General features: G+C 47.3%; 5 annotated features.

Annotated features, from left to right (window-relative positions):
• Positions 9,524-9,833: an enhancer, noted in NCBI's record as "active region_19502". NCBI's record gives its function as "activates an Ori minimal core promoter by ATAC-STARR-seq in GM12878 lymphoblastoid cells {active_cell/tissue: GM12878}" and the evidence as "EXISTENCE:reporter gene assay evidence [ECO:0000049][PMID:35858748]".
• Positions 9,854-9,913: an enhancer, noted in NCBI's record as "active region_19503". NCBI's record gives its function as "activates an Ori minimal core promoter by ATAC-STARR-seq in GM12878 lymphoblastoid cells {active_cell/tissue: GM12878}" and the evidence as "EXISTENCE:reporter gene assay evidence [ECO:0000049][PMID:35858748]".
• Positions 12,942-13,535: an enhancer, noted in NCBI's record as "H3K27ac-H3K4me1 hESC enhancer chr3:14364440-14365033 (GRCh37/hg19 assembly coordinates)". NCBI's record gives its function as "activates a minimal SCP1, AML or CMV promoter by ChIP-STARR-seq in primed H9 embryonic stem cells {active_cell/tissue: H9 hESC(primed)}" and the evidence as "EXISTENCE:reporter gene assay evidence [ECO:0000049][PMID:30033119]".
• Positions 14,525-14,694: an enhancer, noted in NCBI's record as "experimental_64938 CRE fragment used in MPRA reporter constructs". NCBI's record gives its function as "activates a minimal promoter by MPRAs in K562 erythroleukemia cells, with activity observed for both the introgressed and non-introgressed 3:14366108 variant alleles {active_cell/tissue: K562}" and the evidence as "EXISTENCE:reporter gene assay evidence [ECO:0000049][PMID:34662402]".
• Positions 19,068-19,261: a silencer, noted in NCBI's record as "fragment chr3:14370566-14370759 (GRCh37/hg19 assembly coordinates)". NCBI's record gives its function as "represses an EF-1alpha promoter that drives an FKBP-Casp9 reporter gene in an ReSE screen in HepG2 liver carcinoma cells {active_cell/tissue: HepG2}" and the evidence as "EXISTENCE:reporter gene assay evidence [ECO:0000049][PMID:32094911]".

The raw sequence follows: 21,273 nt of genomic DNA on the forward strand, positions 1-21,273 counted from the left end.
ATTCTGGAAAAAACAAAACGATGGAGACAGGAAAAGGATCAGTGGTTGCTAGGGGTTGGGGAGAGGAAGGGATGAATAGGCTGAGCACAGAGGGTTTTTAGGGCAGTGAAACTACTCTGTGTGATGCTATAACGTTGGATAAGTGCCATTATGCATTTGTCCAAACCCACAGAATGCACAGCACCAAGGGTGAACACTAATCTAAACCATGGACCTTGGGTGATACTAATGTGCCCACATAGGTTCATCGATTATAACAAATGTTCCATTCTGGTGGGGATGTTAGGCTGTTCTTGCATTGTAATAAAGAAATACCTGAGATTGAGTAATTAATAAAGAAAAGAGATGTAATTGGCTCACAGTTCTGCAGGCTCTACAGTAAGCATGGTGCCGGCATCTGTTCAGCTTCTGCGGAGTCCTCAGGAAACTTAGAATCATGGCGGAAGGCAAAGGGGGAGCAGGCATATCACATGGTGAAAGCAGGAGCAAGAGGGGAGCGGTGCTACATACTTTTAAACTACCAGATCTAAGGAGAACTCATTCACGATCATAAGGACAGCACCAAGAGGGTTAATGCTAAACCATTCATGAGAAAACTGTCCCCATGATCCAATCACCTCCCACCAGTCCCCACCTCCAACATTGGAGGCTATATTTCAATATGAGATTTGGGTGGGGACACAGATCCAAGCCATATTAAAGGGTGTATGGGAAATCTCTGTACTTCCCACTCAATTTTGCCATGAACTTAAAACTGCTCTAAAAAATAAATCCTATATTTTAAAAGTCTATCAATTACCTGAGAGGTGTGAAAGACACACCAGCAGCAAATGGACACTTGTGCTGGTGCTGTCTGGCAGTCACAGTCAGGCCGCGAGATCCACGTGATCCCATGCCAACACGTGGCCTGGCCTCGCTCTATGTCTTCCCAGGAGTAATCACTTCCTTCAAATTCTGGAGAACTCTGAATTTGGCCCGGTGAGACCACAAAGGAAGGCCAGGGTCAGGTTCTGAGGGTTCTCATGAGCCAGGCTAGGGGATTTGGGCTTTCTCATGAGGGCACTAGGGAAACATGGGAGAGCTGCAAGCAAGATAGGAATGCAAAATGGCACAGCCACTTTGGAAGACAGTTTGGCAGTTTATTACAAAACTAAACACACTCTCACCATATGATCCAGCAATCACACTCCTTCGTATCTACCCAAAGGAATGGAAAATACTGGCAAGGATATGACGTGGTCCATCATGGTGCAGTTTTTAGCCTGTGTCCTGGGGTCACCTTCTTACATGGCAGGGCCATGGATGGACTTCCCTGGAGTCCACGTGGCTGAATTTGATCCCTCCTCTTCCTACTAAATGGAGTCTGTGGCCACAGGGAACAAGGCATCCTCTCAACCTGGGAAGTTGTCTATGGGGAGACCTGCAGATCCACGGGGACAGGAGGTGAGCTTTCTTCAGACAGCTTTAGGTTTGCACATCACACATTTCCCACAGTCTCCCCGGGCACATCTGCAAATTAAAGAAACTCTGGGTTATACCCCAATGCTAGAGATGGTGACAGAAATGCAATGGACCTGTGGGATAAGTGTTCCAAAAAATGACTTTCATTCTCCTGCCTTTCTGTCTTCCCTCCTTCCTCCCTTCGTTTCTTCCTCCTTCCCTCTCTTCATTCCTTCCTTCTTCCATCCCTCCCTCTTTCCCCTCTCCCTTTCTTCCTTCTACTCTTTATTTTTTTCCTCCCTTCCTCCCTTCCTCCCTCCCTTCCTCCCTCCCTTCCTTCATTCTTTCCTCCCTTCCTACCCCCACCCTCTCTTTTGGATATGGGTTTGATTTATGTAATGTTTCATGGTCTGCAAAGTTCATTTGGATAGAGGTTGTCCATAATATGTGTCTCTCCCATTTGTCAATAAGGAAGTAGAGGCATCATGAAGTTGACAGCATTCTATGTGTATTCAGGGATAGAACTTGATCCCAAATATTCTGAATCTCAGTCCCATGTCAGCTAGGAGACTGCTGGACTAATGCAGGCAAGAGATGGTGGTGGCTTGAACACAGCAGTCCATGTGGAAGTGGTGAGAAGTGGTCAGATTTTGGATATAATTTGGTTGTTGGCACAGGAGAGAAATGGAGGTGTTAAAAGTGACTCTGAGGTTTTCACCTGATCAACTGAAGGAAGAGCAGGCACGGTGTGGGGGCACACAAGGGAGTAGGGGCATATGGGCATGCTCAGGTTCCATGAAACTCATCCTTTTCAAGTGGAGACATGTGAGGTTTGAGATGTCCATTAGACAACCGAGGGGCATCCAGGAGGCAGCTGCACACACAGGTCTGGAGCCTGGGGTGGGATCTGCAAGGAGATGCACGTTTGGCATCATCAGCATGTGGAACGAGGAAACCACCAAGGGGCATGCATGGACAGAGAAGACAGAAGGGCAACAGATTGAGCTCCCGGGTACCCCAACATTCATCAGTTGGGGAGCAGAGCGGACAATGAAGCCAGCTTGGAGTGGTCACGGCGCTAGGTGGAGCAGCAGGGAAGGCTCAGTCAGGGCTGAGCTGCTCCTGGCGGTGTAGGGCACAGGTGAGGAGGCAAGGGGCAAAGGAGGTGGGTCCCTTCGCAGGCAGACATGCACCTGGAGAAGAGCACACAGCCCTTGTGCAGTGCGTGGGCTGAAAGGTCAGAGTCCTCCTTTTGGCACACAGACCTCAGCATTTTGCTGTAAAATGCTTTTTCCACCACCGCATCCCACCCCGTCCAAATGTAAACTTCCCTTTAAAAAAATTTTTTTTGCAAGATAAACATGTGATGATTGATATCTTTCCAAGGGATTAAGTGACTAAAAACCAGCTTTCACTTGATCCAGAAATTGATATCTTCAACGCATCCCTTTCCAAAAATAACAAAGAAAAGAACAAAAGACATACACAGACACACACACACACACACACACCACACACACGTGGGCTATTAAACATCATGGTAGGAAAGTTTCCAGAAAGATAAAAAGAGTTTGTTGAAGATTTTAACAACTAAACGGACACTCCCTTGGCTTCCAGACTCTAATCAGAGCTGAGACATGAAGCAAAGAAAGGTGTGTTTTCCACAGGTTGCTGGCCCATGTCTGCAGATTAATCCATGGGTGTCTGGTCCTGTCCAGGCCTTCTAAGTTGGCTTCATGCTTCTGGGCTGCTGGGCAAAGTGACTCTGTGCTAGTCGGGATTCTGGTTTGGGTTTATAGTGTCTGTGCCTTCTTCCACAGCGTCTCCTTGGCACAATGGCCTTAGGGCTTCAAAGTGAAGCAGGAAACCCCCTCCTCCAGGAGACCCCCGGTTTGACCACAAGGGACTAGTCTTGGAGTTTGGCTGAGGACTACTAACTCTTGAGGGTAGCATTCAAGACTCTTCCTAGCTTCCCAATACTCTGAGATCTTCCCAGCATGCGTCTGGTGCTTTTTATTTTTTCCACCTCTGAGCCTTTGCAGCTGCTGTTCCCTTCATCAGATATGCCCTTCCTTCCTCTCCTCCTCAATCTCTGCATATTCAAATTCTCACCATCTCTTAAGACCAGGATGACCATAGAGTCTGGTTTACCTGGCATTGGTTTATATGTGCTCTCCTACTGTCATGATTAGCAGTGCCCCGTTTCACTTTCAAAAATAGCCTGTTGTAGACAATTGATTCCATAGTTACCCAACAAGAAGTCCAGCTCAAATGTCTCCTCTAGGAAGCCATCCCTGATTCCCAAGGAAAGATCTCCTTTATGCTGAACGTACATAGCTGCAGCCCTCCAAGTGTATCATGCTAACCTTCTCTGAATGTGGCCTCTCTCCCCTGCTGGGCAGATACAGTCCCTTTATGAAAAACATTTACACTGAGATACATTTGCATTGAAGATACATTGAAGTCTTACCTCCAGGTTTCTGGCAATATGCCCTTATTTGGAAATAAGGTCTTCGCAGATTTAACAAGGTTAAGATGAGCTCATTAAGGTGGGCTCCACTCCAGTATGACGGGTGTCCTTATAAAATGGGGGAATTTGGAACAGATACTGACACACACAGGGAGAAGATGGCTACGTGGCCGGGATGATGGGTCTACAAGCCAAGGGACACTCAGGACTGCCAGCAACCACCAGGCCTGGAAGAAGCAAGGAAGGAGCCCCCCTTGAAGCAGGCAGAGGGAGCAGGGTCCTGCCCACAACGTGGTAGGGGACTTCCAGCACCCAGAACTGTGAGACAATACCTTTCTGTTGAGGGCCCCCATTTTTGGTGCATTTTTACAGCAGCTCTAGGAAACTAGCATCTATAGTAACTACTTCTTTAAAAGACTACTTTATTTGGATACAATTCATACATCACAAAATTTTCCCCTTTAAAGTGTACAGTTCAATGGCTTTTGGTATATTCACTATATTTAGTATATTCATGCGTCACTAATTTTAGAACATTTTCACCACCCTCAAAAGAAATCCAATATCCATTAGCAGTCACTCCCCAGCCTCCTCACCTCCAGACAACCACAAATCTGTTTTCTGTTTTGGGGGCTCAGAAACAGATACCCCAAAATATGGCACTGTGACACACAGAACTGAAGAAGCCTCAAGGTCTGTCTGACTTCCCCCAACTCCATGCTTGCCTCTCACGTTCCCTTATCTGTGTAAAGTCTGGACTCACCAAAGAAGAAAACAATTACCATTTGTCCCTTCCCTGATTTTTCTTTAACGAATTCATATCGCAGGAAGACTGAAGTCTGTCAACACACCTGGACAGACTTTTGTCATAAACCATTGTCTGCTCTGCGGGCCCAACAGACTTTGTCCCAGGCCATTATATGTTCTTCAAGCCCAGTGAATTCCCCTAAAAGTCATTCGCTATCCTAACATCATCCACACTTCCCCATCTCCCTTTCCCCTAAGAAGTAGGGTAGAGAAGGATCCATACCCCATTGGGATATTGGATAGTCACTCTGTAATATTTCCCCAGTGCATGCTAATAAATGTGTATTCCATTTCTCCTCTTAATCTATCTTTTGTAGACTATGGAATGACTATGGGTGACTATGGAATCACGGGTCTAAAACAGGATATTTTTCAGCAAACCTTCTGAGAGTGAATGGAAAGTTTTTCCTTCACCCCTACACTGTCTCTATAGGTTTTCCTATTCTGGATATTTCACACAAATGGAATTATACACTATGTGGTCTTTTGTGATTGGCTTCTTTCACCTAGCATGATGTTTTCAAGGTTCATCCATGTTGTAGCATGTACCAGTACTTCATTCCCCTTTGTGGCTGGATAATACTCCATTGTGTGGATACACCACATTTTATGTGTCCATTCATCAGTTAATGAACATTTGAGTTTTTTTCAGTTTTTGGCTATTATGAATAGTGCTGCTTTGAACAGTCATGTAGGAGTTTTTGTGTGGGTGTGCGCTTTTAATCCTCTTGGATAAGGAACTCTTTTTCATTGAAAAATAATGCCTGTGCATGGTAAACAAAATTGCCAGTGCCAACCAAAAGTCAGCCCCTTTCCCTCCCCTGGCGGAGCCTCCCTCCCACAGACCAGCTATTCGTTTCTTTTGCGTCGTCTCAGAAATGTTTTCTGCACGTAGGCACGTAGGCACAAGGTGAGTGCACACTCCTGCTCTCCAGGGAGAATACCAGCCTGCTCTGTCCCTCATCCTTTTCCCAGATCGATGCTTCTGGATCTCTCAGCATTGGTGTATAGAGCTGCACTTTTTTTTCCTTTCAGTGACTGTCTCAATAAATTGTTTGAATGTGCCCCTGCTCCCCTTATTATTATTATTTTTTTTGAGACAAGGTCTCGCTGTCACCCAGAGAGTACAGTGGCGCGATCACAGCTCGCTGCAGCATCGACCTCCTGGGCTCAAGTGATCCTCCCACCTCAGCCTCTTGAGTAGCTAGGACCAAAGTCACGCACCACCACTCCCGGCTATTTTTTTTTTTAAGAGATGGGATCTCCCTATGTTGCCCTGGTTGGTCTCCAACTCCTGGACTCAAGAGATCCTCCTACCTCAGCCTCCCAAAGTGCTGGGCCACAGGCTGAATGTGCCCATTTTTACTGACCTATCTAAAGGCCATTTAGGCTGCTTCAAATCTTGCATCACTGCAAATATGGCACCCTAAATATGGTTGTGTGCTCATACAAAGATTTCTGGGAGTTTAAGTGCCACAGATGGACTTTGGTACATAGAAAGTGAACTTTTTTGGTTGGAAAAAGATGGCCCTGAGTTTCCCGATGTTGAGACTGAGTCGTAGTCACTGCTGGGCTCCTCCAAAGCCCATGCGCAGCATAGATGTAGAGGGGATGGGGATGCTTGCCCTCAACCTATTTCCTCCCTTAGACCTGAGAGGTTTGACTATCACTGCCAATTCACCAACCAGTTGATGACCCCATGTGGTCATCATAGAGACCCTTTGCCAACCAGTTTCCATTAAAGTTAAGAACCAAAATAAATTATCCTCTTAAAAAATAATAACTTTTAAGAAGTTGGAAACCTACAACTTTAAAACCAGCCAGATTTTTAAAAAAATCTTTCTGAATTATGAACCGGGTTTTAGACAGTCTTCTTTTTTTTCCATCTTGCTAAGTCAAGCACAGGCTTTGAAAACAAACCACATTGAATTTGCACCCACTCAACGAAGATTTTTTGACAAATCAATTTTATTGTGTGGTGTGCCTTCAAAACTGAGAATCCAGTGAGGCAAACTCTATCCCACCCTGACACTGAGTTAGCTGGGTGCCCTTGAGAAGAATGTTTTTTACCTTAACCAGGTGACAGTTTGCTAACAACAAACAGAGGGGTGAGATAAGACTAAGACTCTATGATCTTAAGCTTCTAAACCAAGCTAATCTATATACTTTCATAGCCTTTACCTGCCCACTGGTGGACAGAGAGGCCTTTCTTTTAATATGGAACCTTAACCACAGATTGGGTTTAATCTCAGACTTAACACTCTAAACTTTCTTTGAACTTGAAGTGCAAACAAAGCGCTAATGTCGGATGTAGCCATCTACACGGAATATGAAAGACACTTTAGGGATGCTGTTTGCCTAAGTAAGCTCCAGAGGCTGGGATTGCCAGTCTCCTTAGCCTGTGCAGGCACCTTTGGCAGAGGTTTCAGGTTGGATATGGGGCTTGGTAATGGCCCAGGGATGAATTCATATTTCCCCCCCTGGCTCATTACCAGGGGATAAAGGCACCTTCCGCAGCTCCCAGCAGGTTCGGAGCAGGAAGTGGGGTGGTTTGGACAGCAGGAATCTGACTCCTCAGAGGCAACTGAGAAGCCATTGTTCCAGGGCTTCCCGGGGCGCTTTTGTTGGCAATTCCTTCATGTCTCAACTGGAGCTAAGGTCTTCACCCAGCCACTGATAAACAACACAGTCAGTGCCAGAATAAGTCCCAGGACACTCCCCTTCGGCCAGTCACTACCCTGCTCAAGTACCTTCAATGACTCCCCAGTGCCCACTAAAGCACTGCGGTGCTCCAAGCTGGCCACAGTCTGGCCTAATTACCTGGCTATCCTTAATGCCTGCAACTTCTCATTACTTTATCTTGCCCAGCATGTATCTAGCATCCACTCTGGGCCAGGTACTGTGTTAAGTGCTCTGCAGGCATCTTCCAGGTTCATCTTGATGAGCATTCTAGAGGAAGACCTCATAGTATCATGTAGATGAGGAAACAGAGGCACCAAGTTGCTAAAGTAGCTTGCCTAATGCCACACAGCCGGGGAGCAAAGAGTCAACGCAAACCCCATCCCTGTGCACTCTCTGCTGCCCGGGACTGGGGCCATGCCCTGAGTACCAGTGTGTGCAGCGCAGAGTGACGAAGAAGCACCAGCCAGGCGATGAGTGGGGGAAGAACACTCCAGGCAGAGGCAGTAGCAAATGCATTTCTTTCTCTGAGCCTCAGTTTCCTCACCTGTTAAGTGTGTGCACGTATGCACACCCTTGTGTGCCCACTGTGTGTGTTTGTGTGGAGGTCGGGAGGCGTTGCCTTCCGGTTGTCTGAGACTCCCCCTGGAATCTGGAAATGATTTTTGGATGCCTCTTTAAATTTTGTGCCTCTCTTGTCTTACCCCTAGCCCTATCAGGCTGCTAGCTGTGATTGCCAATTCAGAAAATAGATAAGTAAACAGACTGACCAGGACCAGTGAGCTGGGGCATAGGGAGCATGAGATTGGGGTCTTCTGGCCACAGTCACCTGGGCTTGAGCAGGGGCTGTCCCTGTGAGACAGGGTGCCCTCTCTGCTACCCCTTGCTGTCTTGTAAACCTGGTCTGTTTTCCTGATCTTCATCCTCTGCAAGTCCCTTGCAGACGCTGGAGTTTGCGATTCCTGGGCAGCATGTTTCAGAAGGCTTATGAGGATATGCTGTTTAGTTTCTGTTCTATTTAACACATCTGCAGTGGCCATGTTACATCTCCTTTGCTGCTTTTCTTTTTTTCCTGTTTTCTGCTTTCTGTTCCATCATCTCCCACTCTTTTCCCCCAACTTCTCTCTCTTCAGCTCCCCAGAAAATCTCCTTTCCACCCCAACTTCTTTCTCTATCATATCATATCTAAACATTATTTGGCATAATAAGTCTTCCAGAAGTCAGGGAGGGCTTCAGAGAGGTGAGTAGGGCTCTTGAGCAGGGCTTCGAGGAATGAACAGGAGTTGGTTAGGAAGAGAAAGAAGGAAAGGGCAGGAAACTAAGGTGCTTAAATACAAAGGCTGGATCCATACAGGCAGGGTTTGAATCCTGGCTTAGCCACTCTGTGGCTGTGTGATCTGGGGCAAATTACATAACCTCATCAAGCCCGAGTTAACTCATCAGCATAATGGGAATTTCCAGATTATCTCAGTGTCAGAGTCTCTGGGCTGGTCCTACTGGCTGATGAGAGCCAACTGTGCATCTCTCTTCCAATGCTGCATTTGACAATGTCACCCTGGGAGCTTGAAATCTGCCACTGTGGAAGTATTTGCACCATGGAAATCGGCAGACTCTACAAGTCAGAACATTTTTTTCCCCCTCCAGAGAGCCAGTTCACCAACACATCACCACCTGCAGCTGGGAAGCTGGGTTAAGATTAGATTTGATTGCAAGGGGCTTTGAACAGCAAGGCCTGGAGATGTATTGTTCAAATGTTTGCTGTGGAACTTCAGAGACACAATTTGACCCTACCTAGTCTGAGGGGAAAAAAAAAAAATTTTTTTTCTTTTAGAAATAAAGAAGGCCTGAGTTTCTAAACTCAGAAGGCTTGAGTTTCTAAAAAAAAAAAATCCCAAACACATTCTCATATTATATTTACATAACTCTTCAAAAGATCTCCTAGAACACCTTAATTAAAAATACATATATATTATTTCTGTTGAATGAGCAAACCTTGAATAAGAAAATCACCAACGTTCTCAAGCTGAAAAACGGGGAGATTTTTAACTGGGAAAAACTGGGTGTGGAGGGGTCAGCAGTGGCCAGTTCACACGTAACTTAGCTGGGAAGGAAGCTGGCCTGTATCCTATTAGCAGTGGGAAATCATGGGAGGGTTTGAAGCAGACAAAGGCTATGATCAGATTCTGGTCTTGGAAAACATCCTTCTGGCTGCTCTTTGGAGAAGAGTCGGGAGAGAGCCGAAACAAATTCAAGGAGACCAGGCAAGAGATGAAGGGGATGTGGACAAGCATGTTTCTGGAGAGACAATGCTGTGTGTTTGCCTTACTTCCTTTTTCTCCTGGGCACTCAGCTGGACTACATTTCCCAGGCTCCTCTGCAGTGAGGTAGGACCATGTGATTTAGTTCCGGCCAATAGAATGTGGGCAGAAGTGATGTAAGGAACTTCCTGCCCTGGCCAAGGAAACTCTCCCATACAATCCTCTGGGCTGTTTCTCTTTCCCGCTTGCCTCCTGCAGAGGGTCCAATGCAGAACTCCAAGGCCTGAGGGGTGGCAAAGCCACTGGCTGGAAGGAGCCTGGGTTGCTGAATGACTGTATGGAGCAGAGACTCACCATTCACTGCATTGGACTGTGCTGAAAAGGACAAACCTTCCTTGTGTTGAGCCCTGAGACCTGGGACTGTTTGTTACAGCTGCCAACCTGATGGATGTTGGGTGATGAATCAGAGACAGGGGTGCAGACTAGAGAGCTCTTTGGGGTAAAGTCGTGGGACTTGGGATAGATTGGAAGTGGAATGAGAAAAGAGGAGGCATCGCGGACAGAGTCCATGTTTCTGATTGAGCAGTGGTGCCTTTTGCTCAGAGAATGTGAGGAGGTCTTTCTGGAGGGCTGTTTGGTGCATTTCAGATACTGGAGTAGAGCTGTCAAGAGGCTCTTTTCTTGGCCTGTGCCATGTGGGGCAGTCCAGCAGCTCCTCCAGAAGCATGTTATGGTGGCAAATGCTGCCCGTCATTCATCCGAAAGAGGAGACAGGGAACATCTGCCTGTGAAGTCATCGTGCTGCCCTCAGCCAGAGCCTACCCAGGAGAGCTGGGGAATACTAACTGCTTCCTGCCCAGCCCAGCAACACCCTACCATGTCCATATTTGTGACCCCAAGCTGTGACAAGGCTAATGTTGGGACCTAATTTATTTTTACTTCCTTTTAACAAATGTTTCCTGAGGGCCTATGATAATCATAATATTAAAACTATTATTTATTACCCACCGCTAGTCCCAATTACTCGAAAGACTGAGGCAGGAGGATCACTTGAGCTCAAGAGTTTGAGTCCAGCCTGGGCAACATAGCAAGACCCCGTCTCTAAAACAAAAACAATTTTTTAGAAAACTACTGAAACTACTGCTATTTCTTAAGCACTTACCATGTTCTAGACAGTATGCCAAGTGCTTTACTACATTTCATTAAATCTCCAACAGAGATGGGAACTATTATTGGCCGCATTTGACAGGTGGGGAAACTGAAGTTCAGAGAGCTAACTCTGCACGAGCTAGGCTTTGGACCCAGGTCATCAAATTCTATAGTCTGTTATCCCCATATGAAGCCAATTCTGCCTGGAGCACCAAGATTGACATGATCTCACAGAACTGAGCGTGGCCCCATCTCCTGCATTCCCCGGAGAGGCCCTTTTAGTCTCTCACAGTTCTTGTTCCACCAGAGTGGGTAGTGGCTGCTGTCTGCCACCCAGCACATTGGCACATTTTGGAGACCTCTTCCTTTGTCTTTGGGAAGCCTGGGGCTGGGCTACCCCATTGCATTTCCCTCCATGAGAGGAGACTGTCATTTTGCCAGGTCCTGGGTCCTAGGTTACTGGGCCACCCACTGTTGGCATGGTGACCAGATCATGACCCAAATCATGGCCCCTGATGGGCACAGATTCCTAGGCAGCCACCGTCCTCAGAAGGGGCCAATGGGCCTGGCATCCAGAGCAGTTCTTGAGCTAGTGTGGAAACCCATTTACACCACCTTAGCCCAAAAGTAGTGTTTAAGGAATCACAGAATCCAAGGGAAAGTTTGGGCCAAAATCTAGAATCAGCCACCCAGATGTCACCACAAGCCTCTCCCCATCCCTTATCGCTACTCCTTGAAGACTGCCACAGGACAGAGGCAGGTGGTTGCCCACCTAGCATCCCTTCTCATTTAAAAGAGCCCTGGCCGAGCCCTGCAGTGGGTCACACCTGTAATCCCAATACTTTGGGAGGTCGAGGCAGGAGAACCACTTGAGCCCAGGAGTTGGAAACCAGCCTGGGCAACAGAGCGAGACCCTACCTCTACAAAAAAATGAAAAAATTAACCAGGTATGGTGGGGCATGCTTGTGGTCCCAGTTACTTGGGAGGCTGATATAGGAGGATCACTTGAGCCCAAGAGGTTGAGGCTGCAGTAAGGTATGATTGCACCACTGTACTCTAGCCTGGGCTGCAGAGCCAGACCCTGTCTAAAATAAAATAAAATAAAATAAAATAAAATAAAATAAAATAAAATAAAATAAAATAAAATAAAATAAAATAAAATAAAATCCCTGATTTTCTTCAGCAGGATGCTCTTTCCCAGCCTCACCATCTCAGCCATGAGATGTAAGCAGACACCTGCTATGAGTTCTGGGAAAGTTTTTGTATCCTTGATAAAAAAAATGTCGAACACAACTGGCCTAGCCCTTCCCCTTTTTATCCTTCCTTGAATGCAGATGTAATGACTGGAGCAGAGGCAGCCATCTTATACCCATAAGAGAAAGGCAAGAAAACCACAAAATTCCAGTTCTAACCTCATTGAGTGGCCGAACCAATGCCTGTGGTCACCTGTCTCTAGATGTCTTGTCACATGAGGAAAATATAACTTTAGTTATTAAGCCATTGAGGGACAGATTTGTTCTGACTTGCAGGAGAAAGCCATCCTAATGGAGACTATTGCTGTCACCGTCACTGCTGCTACATAAATGGAAACATAGTTGCCTCTGGCCCCTGAGTTTTGTATTTTATAGGCTCTGAACTCAACCTTCTGTGTCCCAAGTTTTAAAAAAAACATTCCTGGGCTGAGACTCATTGGCCCAGTTTAGATTGTCTATGCCTGGGCCACTCTTCCATGGCCAGGGAGGGTGGACTGTGATTGACCCAGTTGGTGCCAACCCTTAACCCAATCAACCATGGCCAGAGGAATTGGTGGGGAGGGGGGGTGCCATTTGAATATGAAGATAAGAGAGCTCCAGGCAGCCTGGCTCATTAGTGTGTCATTCTGGTCACCCAGATCAAGGGCACTCACAAGGTCGTCCTCACTCCCGCCTCGCTTTCATCCACTCTACCATGTTTACTGCACGTTCACTGTGTGTGCTGCACGGTGCTAGGGCAAGATGGAATTTGAACTGGATTATCCAGAGTCCAAGATCTGGCCCGTATCCACTGCTAGACCCTGCAGGCAACCTGGCTCTGTCCCCTTAGAGTCCTTGGTCTCAGTTTACAGGCTCGGGTTCAAACTCGGGCTCTGCCACCCATGGCTGCTGACAGTTTCCCCCTGCTGCTCAGCTTTCTCGTCTGTAACAGGTAGGGGTTCCCTTGCTGAGTTCAGAGTCCTTTCCTGGCGTCAGTGAGCTTCGGAGTCAGCAGGCTGGATTCCATTCCCAGCTTACCCTCTCCTGGCTGTGTGACCTCAGGCGGCCACCTCACTTCTCTGCACCATGATCCCCTGTCTTTAAACCATGGGGATGACCCTGCCCCCAGGTTATGGGGTAGAGTAATTCATGAGATGACCCTGGGTCACACAGGAGGTGCTCAATAAATCCTAAAAATAAAAGCTTAGCAGCCCCAAGGGAATGTGTGACAAATTATAGGCAGGATTTCCTGAGGCTGGCAGTCCAGGAAGAGGTCAAGCATTGGGTGGGGTTTATCCCCCACCCCCCAGGCCTGGAGAAGCTCCTGAAACAGGCAGACAGGACAGGAATGGGGCTCCCAGACCCCTGCCCTTGCCTGCATAATCTTGTGGGACTGGTTGGCAGATGTGGGTCAGTGGTGCATACGCGTCCCTGGAGTGAGGGCAGCGGAAAGCTGTTCCTGTCCATCTGAGGGCTGGCAGCCACCAGGGCCACATCCGCATAGAAGAAAGAAACCAAGGGCAGCACTTGGGTCCTGTCACTGACAGCTGCTGGCCACAGAAGAGAGGCTGACCTTCTCTTTGTCCCCCCGGGAGGCAGGCGGGGCTGGTGAGGGGACGAGGGTTTCAATCCAGGCACTTGGGCAACCCTCCCCACGTAGCTGGCGTTTCTTCCCAAGCCACAGCCCCGGGACTACATGAAAAACAAAGCTTCCTGGCCCCAGCAGCATGTATCACTGCCTTCCTGGGCCAGTCCCTGGGTAGGGCTTTGGAGAAGGGGCAGCACTCACAGACTGATGGAGGATGGGAACTGCAGGCCAGGTTGGAAGAGCTCCCTTTACCGACAATCTGCAGAGCATTAGACACTGTGCCCAGCACATTCACTTAGGTACACTCTGGCCCTTGGAAGGAGGACCCGTTATTACCCCCATTGTACAGAAGAGGAAACTGACGCTCAGAGAGGCAGGCTGGCTTACTGTGGGTCACACAGAAAGTGGGAGCTTGGATTCCAGACCAAGTCTGCCCAACCCCTAAGAGTGGCCTCTTTCTCTCATGTGACGTAGTCTCCAGGAAACAGGCGAAAAGTCCAAATGGCATCATGGTAGGGTGGGAAGCATTTGGGCCGGGTGTCAGGGAACCGCTCCTAGTTCCTCAAGGGCTTGAACCACCCTTCCTTCCTTTCCCCAGCTGAGCTCTTCCTCCACCTCCAGGTCTCCATTTAGACGCCTCCTCCAGGAATCTCCCCTCGATTTCCCCTGCCTGGGACTCCACCTCTCAGCTCCCGTAGCCCCCTTGGTCTGAACCCATCTGTCCTCCCCAGGAGAATCTAAACTCCATAGGGCAAGACGACGTCTGCCAAATTCCCCACAGAATCTTCAGGGGTTGGCAGGGTGGCTGACACATAGTAGGCCCTCAATAAATATTTGTGGAATACATGATAGACCAGACACCCCAGCCCCAAAAGCATGGAGCATAGACCCTTTTCTGGGGTAAGGGCTGCATCTCTGGGCCAAGGAGAACAGGATGGGAGAGATCCCAGGAGTCCCAGGGGTCCCAGAGACTCCCTCTCAGGACCGTGCCCCCTGCCCACAGTAAAACGTGTCCCCAGAGCCCAGCCCATCACATTTTTTCCTGACAACTCACTCTGTGATTCATTCTTAGCCCCTGGCATGCCTGGGCCTACCCAGAAGCCATAGGCACTGGTGCTAAGTTTAGTGACTGCAAAATGTCCCCGTGAAATTCCAGACAGAGCCAAGGGGCTGGCGGCGCATTCCGCAGAGCTTTCTTGGGTCCTCCCACTCTGCTGCTGGGCGTGAAGGGGAACCAAAGCGTCCTTCCAGTAAATAGCCTGGAAGGGCCAGGTCCCTATCTGAGGGCCTTGACTAGTGGCCACAGAGCTCAAGGGCAAAGGTGGCCATTATTGTCAGAGGAACTTGGTGTGGAGGACTGGAAGCCTCGGAAAGCCTTCAAATAATACACCATAATGAAGAGGGGACTTGAGGTTCAGGACAAACCTCTCTCTCCCTTGGAATCCTATAGAGATGTTGAACAGTGCATGCCCAGGTAAAACTTCCCTGCTTAGAGCTGAGGTCTGCCTGCCTATGCCTATCTAGAAGATGGGAATGTCCTGGCTCTGCCCTTTGGACCTCAGAGCTACCTGTCTCCCGCTCTTCATAGGACAGGACCTCCAGCCCTCTCCCTGCTCTGTAGCCACCTCTAGATTTTTCTCTGTCTGCTCTGACCCTTTCTCAAAGATGAGCCAAAGATCCCAAAACAAGACAGAACAGAGGAGAGGGTCTGAGATGTACAGGAGGAAGGTCTCGAGCTTGTGGTCCATTAAGACCTTCAGATCTTATTCACATTAACATATTCCCTGGGAAGGCCTCCCTCGGCACACGTCTAGCAATTGGTTTCCATTAATTTCTCCTCCATGAGGGAGAAACCATATCCACCTCATTATTTGACTCAGCAATCTCAGTCTCATTGCTGGACTGTCAGCTCCACAGGGCCAGGGAGGGGCTGTCATAACACCACACTCTCCCCAGCCCTGAGCATGATATCTGCACAGAGGTGGCACTGAGAGGGCAGCCTTTTTTCAAATGTGAAATATAAATACAACAGAAGATTATAACCACTAAAAAATAATTTTAAAACAATAAGTCAAAGCAAATTAAGTCAAATCAATAGGGTAATAAAAGCACTTTTTTTCCTTTTTGAGACAATCATGATCACTGCAGCCTCAACTGCTGGGGCTCAAGCAATCCTCCTGCCTCAGCCTCCCAAGTTGCTGGGATCACAGGTGCATACGACCACACTTGGCTAATTTTTTTGTTTTTGTAGAGACAGAGTCCTGTTATGTTGCCAGTCTGGTCTCAAACTCCTGGCCTCAAGTGATCCTCCCACCTCAGCCTCCCAAAAGGAAGTGGGAGCTGTTGGCTCATACAGGCATGAACCAACATGCCTGGCCAAGGAAAGCACTTTCAACTAATGGTGCTGAAACAATGAGACATAGATATAGAAAAAAATATATATGTCAACTGCTGCAATTGATTCAAAAATCAATTTGAAATGGATCTAAATGTAAAAAGCAAAGCCAAGCTTATAAAGGAAACACATTAATATTTTTGCAACATTAGAGAGGCAAGGGTTTCTTGGTCAGGACACAAAAAGCACTAACTTTAAAAGAAAAAAAATGGATAAGTTGGATTTCATCCAAGTTCAAATTTTCTGCTCATTAAAAGACAGCATTAACAAAACTAATAGGCAAACCAAAGACTGGGAAACAATATTGACTCTGCGTGTGTGTGTGTGTGTGTGTGTGTGTGTGTGTGTGTCACAAAGGGTTTATTTGAGAACATATAAATAACTACAAATGAACAGTAACAAGATGAATAATCCTGGCCAGGCTCGGTGGCTCACGCCTGTAATCCCAGCACTTGGGGAGGCCGAGGCGGGCAGACCACTTGAGGTCAGGAGTTCAAGACCACCCTGGCCAACATGGTGAAACCCCGTCTCCACTAAAAATACAAAAATTAGCTGAGCCTGGTAGTGCCCACTTGTAGTCCTAGCTACTCGGGAGGCTGAGGCAGGAGAATCACTTGAACCCAGGAGCCGGAGGTTGTAGTGAGCCGAGACAGCGTCACTGTACTCCAGCCTATGTGACAGAGCGAGACTCCGTCATAAAAATAAAAAAAAAAAAAAAGAAAAGATGAATAATCCAATTGTGAAACATGGCAGAAGACTTGAACAGATACAAAAGAAGGTATCTGGCTGATAAGCACATAGAACGATGCTCAGCACCAAGGAAACACAAAATGTTAAAATTATAATTATAACCAGATGCCATTTTACACCTACCAGAATGGCTGCATTTTTTTTGTAAAACTTACAACACCAAGTGCCATGAGGATGAGGAGCGGCTGGGGCTCTGACTCTGCTGGAGGATGTGTGAACTGTGCAGATATTTGGGAAAACATCGGCAAGTTTCCTATAAAGTCAGGCAGCTAATGGGATTTTTAAGATACCTTAAATTAAGCAGACATCTACTGAATAACTCAATCATTCCACTCCCAGCTTCTTTACCCAGGAGAGATGAAAACATGTCTCCACAAAGACTCATATGCAAATATGTGTGACAGCTGTCACACACATATGAGCCCCAAACTGGAAACAACCCAAATTTCTATCACCAGGGATGTGGATAAATAAAACTGTGGAGCATCCGTACTATGGAATACTACTCAGTAATAAAAAGAAATGAACTACTGATAGACACAATAACCTGGATACATTTCCAAAACAGCACACTGAGGGAAAGATGCCAGACCCCAGAGAGAACATCCTGTACAAGTCCATTTACGTGAAGCTCTGGGACAGGCAAAGTTGAGCTGCGCTGAAAGATATCAACACACAAGGTGGGGTGTTGTGGCTCATGCCTGTAATCCCTGTAATCCCAGCACTTTGGGAGGCCGAGGTGGGTGAATCAACTTGAGGTCAGGAGTTCGAGATCAGCCTGGCCAACATGGTGAAACCCCGTCTCTACTAAAAATACAAAATTAGCTGGTCATGGTGGCATGTACGCCTGTAGTCCTGGCTACTCGGGAGACTGAGGTGGGAGAATTGGTAGAACCCAGGAGGTGAAGGTTGCAGTGATCTGAGATGGTGCCACTGCACTCCAGCCTGGGCGACAGAGTGAGACTCTGTATCAAAAAAGAAAGAAAGAAAGAAAGAAATCAATGCACAAGTTTCTGGGGGCTGAAGGTGATTGCAAATGAAAACAAGGGAAGTTTCTGGGGTGTGGGAAATCTCTCAAATCTTGCTCAAGTGATAATATCAAGGGCAACTACAAGTGTAAAAAACTCATTGAAGTGAACACTTAAGATGTATACAATTTATGCTGCCCTAGTTATATTTGTCTTCAGCAAAATATCTTTTATTTATTTATTTTTTTTTTTGAGACAGGGTCTTGCTCTGTCACCAAGGCTGAAATGCAAGTGGCACTATCATGGCACACTGCAGCCTTGACCTCCCAGGCTCAAACGATCTTCCCACCTCACCCTCCCAAGCCTCTGGTCCTACAGGTGTGAGCCACCATACCTGGCTAATTTTTAATTTTTTTGTAGAGACAGGGTCTCACTATGTTGCCCAGGCTGGTCTTGAACTTCTGGGCTCAAGCAATCCTCTTGCCTCAGCCTCCCAAAGTGCTGGGATTATAGGTGTGAGCCACCATGCCTGGCCAAAATATATCTTAAGAAAAAAAAAATTCTAAAACAACTAATATTAATAATAATTTAAAATAATAATAATATTGCAAACTGTGAACTTCTACCACCAGCTTATAAAATAGAACATTACTACTATGCATCCTTCTCCCTTTCTCAGAGGTAATCACTAGCTGGGATTTTACGTTCGTTATTCCTCTGATTTTCTTTTTAATTGTACTACCTCTAGTCTATTCCCTACATAGCATATTGTTTTGTATGCCTGTCTGGACACTCTATAGGAATGGACTCATTCTGTTTGTATTCTTCTGAGACCTGCTTTTTTCACTCACATTGTGTCTCCATCATTTATTCATCCATTCATTCATTTGTTCATTCACATAGCTATAACTCATTCATTTTCATTGCTGTATACTATTCCAACGTAGAGCTATTTATCATTCTTCTGCTGATGGCCATTGGGTTACTCTAGGTTATAGCAAATTGTGCTTGTGCATGTCTTCTGGTGGGTGTGGGTATGAGTTCCTCTAGGGTAAAAAGGCAGGACAGGACTTGCTGGGTCATGTTAAACATGTCTCTAATTTACTAAATAATTCCAAGTTTACTAGAAATTACTGGGTAGTTTCCAAAATGGCCACCCCAATTTAGACTGCCACAGTAGAGGATGAAAATTCCAGCTGCTGCACATCATCACCAAACCTTGGCATTATCAGAATTTTCTATGTTTGAAAACAAAAATAGGGATCACAAACTCAAATGCCCTGGGCACCATTAATGTAACCAGTGACTAGACTGGGAGGACAGTAAGGACTGGTGGGGACTGCAGCAAACATCTGAAAGAGGCAGACTTAGCTCCGCTCCCTGACTGTGGCCAGGAGGGAATGCAGACCTTGGGCTGCCAAAGCTCTGGCGTTTTCCAAGGAAGCTAGATATCTAGATTTTTACAGAAAGTCTTCTTTTGAAATGTCAGCAAAGATTTCAGATTTGTTTAAAACACAGTACGGCCGGGTGTGGTGGTTCACACCTGTAGTCTCAGCTACTCAGGAGGCTCAGGCAGGAGGATCGCTTGAGCCCAGTTGTTGGAGACCAGCCTGGGCAACACAGGGAAACCTCGTCTCTTAAATAAATAAATAAAACACAGTATGGACCGTGTATATTTGTGGGACAAGCCCAAACTATTCCTTTTAGATTTCTTCTGTTAAAATTTAACTCAGTTCAATGTGTAGCTCTTGGAGCCTATTGGAGCTTTGGCAAGTGACCTGACTCTCCACAACACAGGTGCCTATGCGCACCACCAGCTATTGTTCCGTTCTGTACCAGCGTGAGTTCATTGTTCTTCCTTCTGCTTTGTTGTTGAGAAAGCTCAGGTTTCCAGAAGTCCTGCTGACTCAGAGGAACAAGGGTAATGAGGGTAATTACTCTAGTGTGCTGTGAAGTAAAAGCTACTCACTCCAAGCTGCTGGAGGAATCGTTCCTCATTCATCCATGCATCCCCTCCAGCTCTCTGCGACTCATTCTTCTCTCAGCAGCCAGAGGGATTCTTCTATCTTTTTTCTTTTTTACTTTTCTTTTTTTTTTCTGAGACAGATTCTCACTCTGTTGCCTGGGCTAAAGTGCAGTGATGTGATCACAGCTCACTGCAGCCTCCACCACCTGGGCTCAAGCAATCCTCCCCCGTCAGCCTTCCAAGCAGCTGGGACTGGAGGCACGCACCACCACCCCTGGCTAAGTTTTTTTATTTTTAGTACAGATGGGGTCTCACTATGTTGCCCAGGCTTGTCTCAGACTCCTGGCTTCAAGTGATCTTCCCGCCTTGGCCTCCCAAAATGCATGGATTACAGGCGTGAGCCACCACGCCCAGCCCAGATGGATTCTTTCAAAACATAAATGAGATGATGTCACTCTCTTGCTTGACCTGTCCATTGATTCTCATCATCCCCATACCCTTGACCGGGGCTCATCATTTGCATCTTTGCCACCCGCCCCTCCCTGGCTCCCCTACAAGCCATCAACGCCCCACACTCAGTCTCACCTGGGGGTGTTTGCACATCAGTCTCCTCTGCCTGCATCACCTCTTCCTTCACCCCTCCCCTGGCTGCTTCCTTCTTAGCCCCCAGATCTGTCTGACATGAATGTCACCTCCCCAGGAAGGCCTCCCCTAATTCCTTCCTAAAATAGCAAATCACTACTCCAGCGGCTCTCCGCACAGCTCCCTGTGCATCTCACTCTTGGCACTCCACGCCCTGCAGGGACCTCCTGCATTTGTGTGCTTGTCACTGACTACCTTCCCTACCACGGTACGAGGTTCCCAAGGGGCAGGGACCTGGAACTGACCACCACATCCCCCGTCCCTAGCGTAGGGCCCAGCGTGTAGTAGCCTTGGAATGAATGCCTGCCTGTGAAGCACCTACTATGTGCCGGACCCTGTGCGCCAGGCCATGGCGCGGTGACATAATGGAGGACTGTGGCCCAGGCCTCAAGGAGCCCAAGACCTAGAAGAGGAGACAGAGACATCCACAGAGAACTGCAGTCCAAGGCAGGAAATGTCACTTGGGAGCAGGGATGCCGTTGGGTGCCCTGCAACATCCAGCTTGGCTGTTTGCTGCTGGCATCCATGCCAGTGGGTTGCTTTGTCCTGCCAGTTGTGAACTATTTTAATTTTCTCCCCCGGATAAAGCTAGAGGTTAGAGCAAACTCTGCTGGGGTTTTTTTTATTTATAAGAAAGGACTTAAGGGCAGATGAGCACTGGATGCAGAGTCAGAATCCCAGCTCTGCCCTCTTAGCTGTGGGCCTCGGGAAGTGTCAGTGTGGAGGGAGGACAAACACCACGCCCCACTCCACACACACAGGAGGGCAGAAGAAGTCAGCACTATCCTGTGTCGAGTGATGGGGAGCGTTTTAAGAAATGTGTCCTTAGGCAATCTCCTTGTCGTGCAGACAACAGAGAGTGTCCTTACACACCCACGTGGCACAGCCCACTATACACCTAGGCTGCATGGGATGGCCTGCTGCTCCTA

The sequence above is a fragment of the Homo sapiens genome, chromosome 3, assembly GCF_000001405.40.
Source record: "Homo sapiens chromosome 3, GRCh38.p14 Primary Assembly".
NCBI classification, from domain to species: domain Eukaryota; kingdom Metazoa; phylum Chordata; class Mammalia; order Primates; family Hominidae; genus Homo; species Homo sapiens.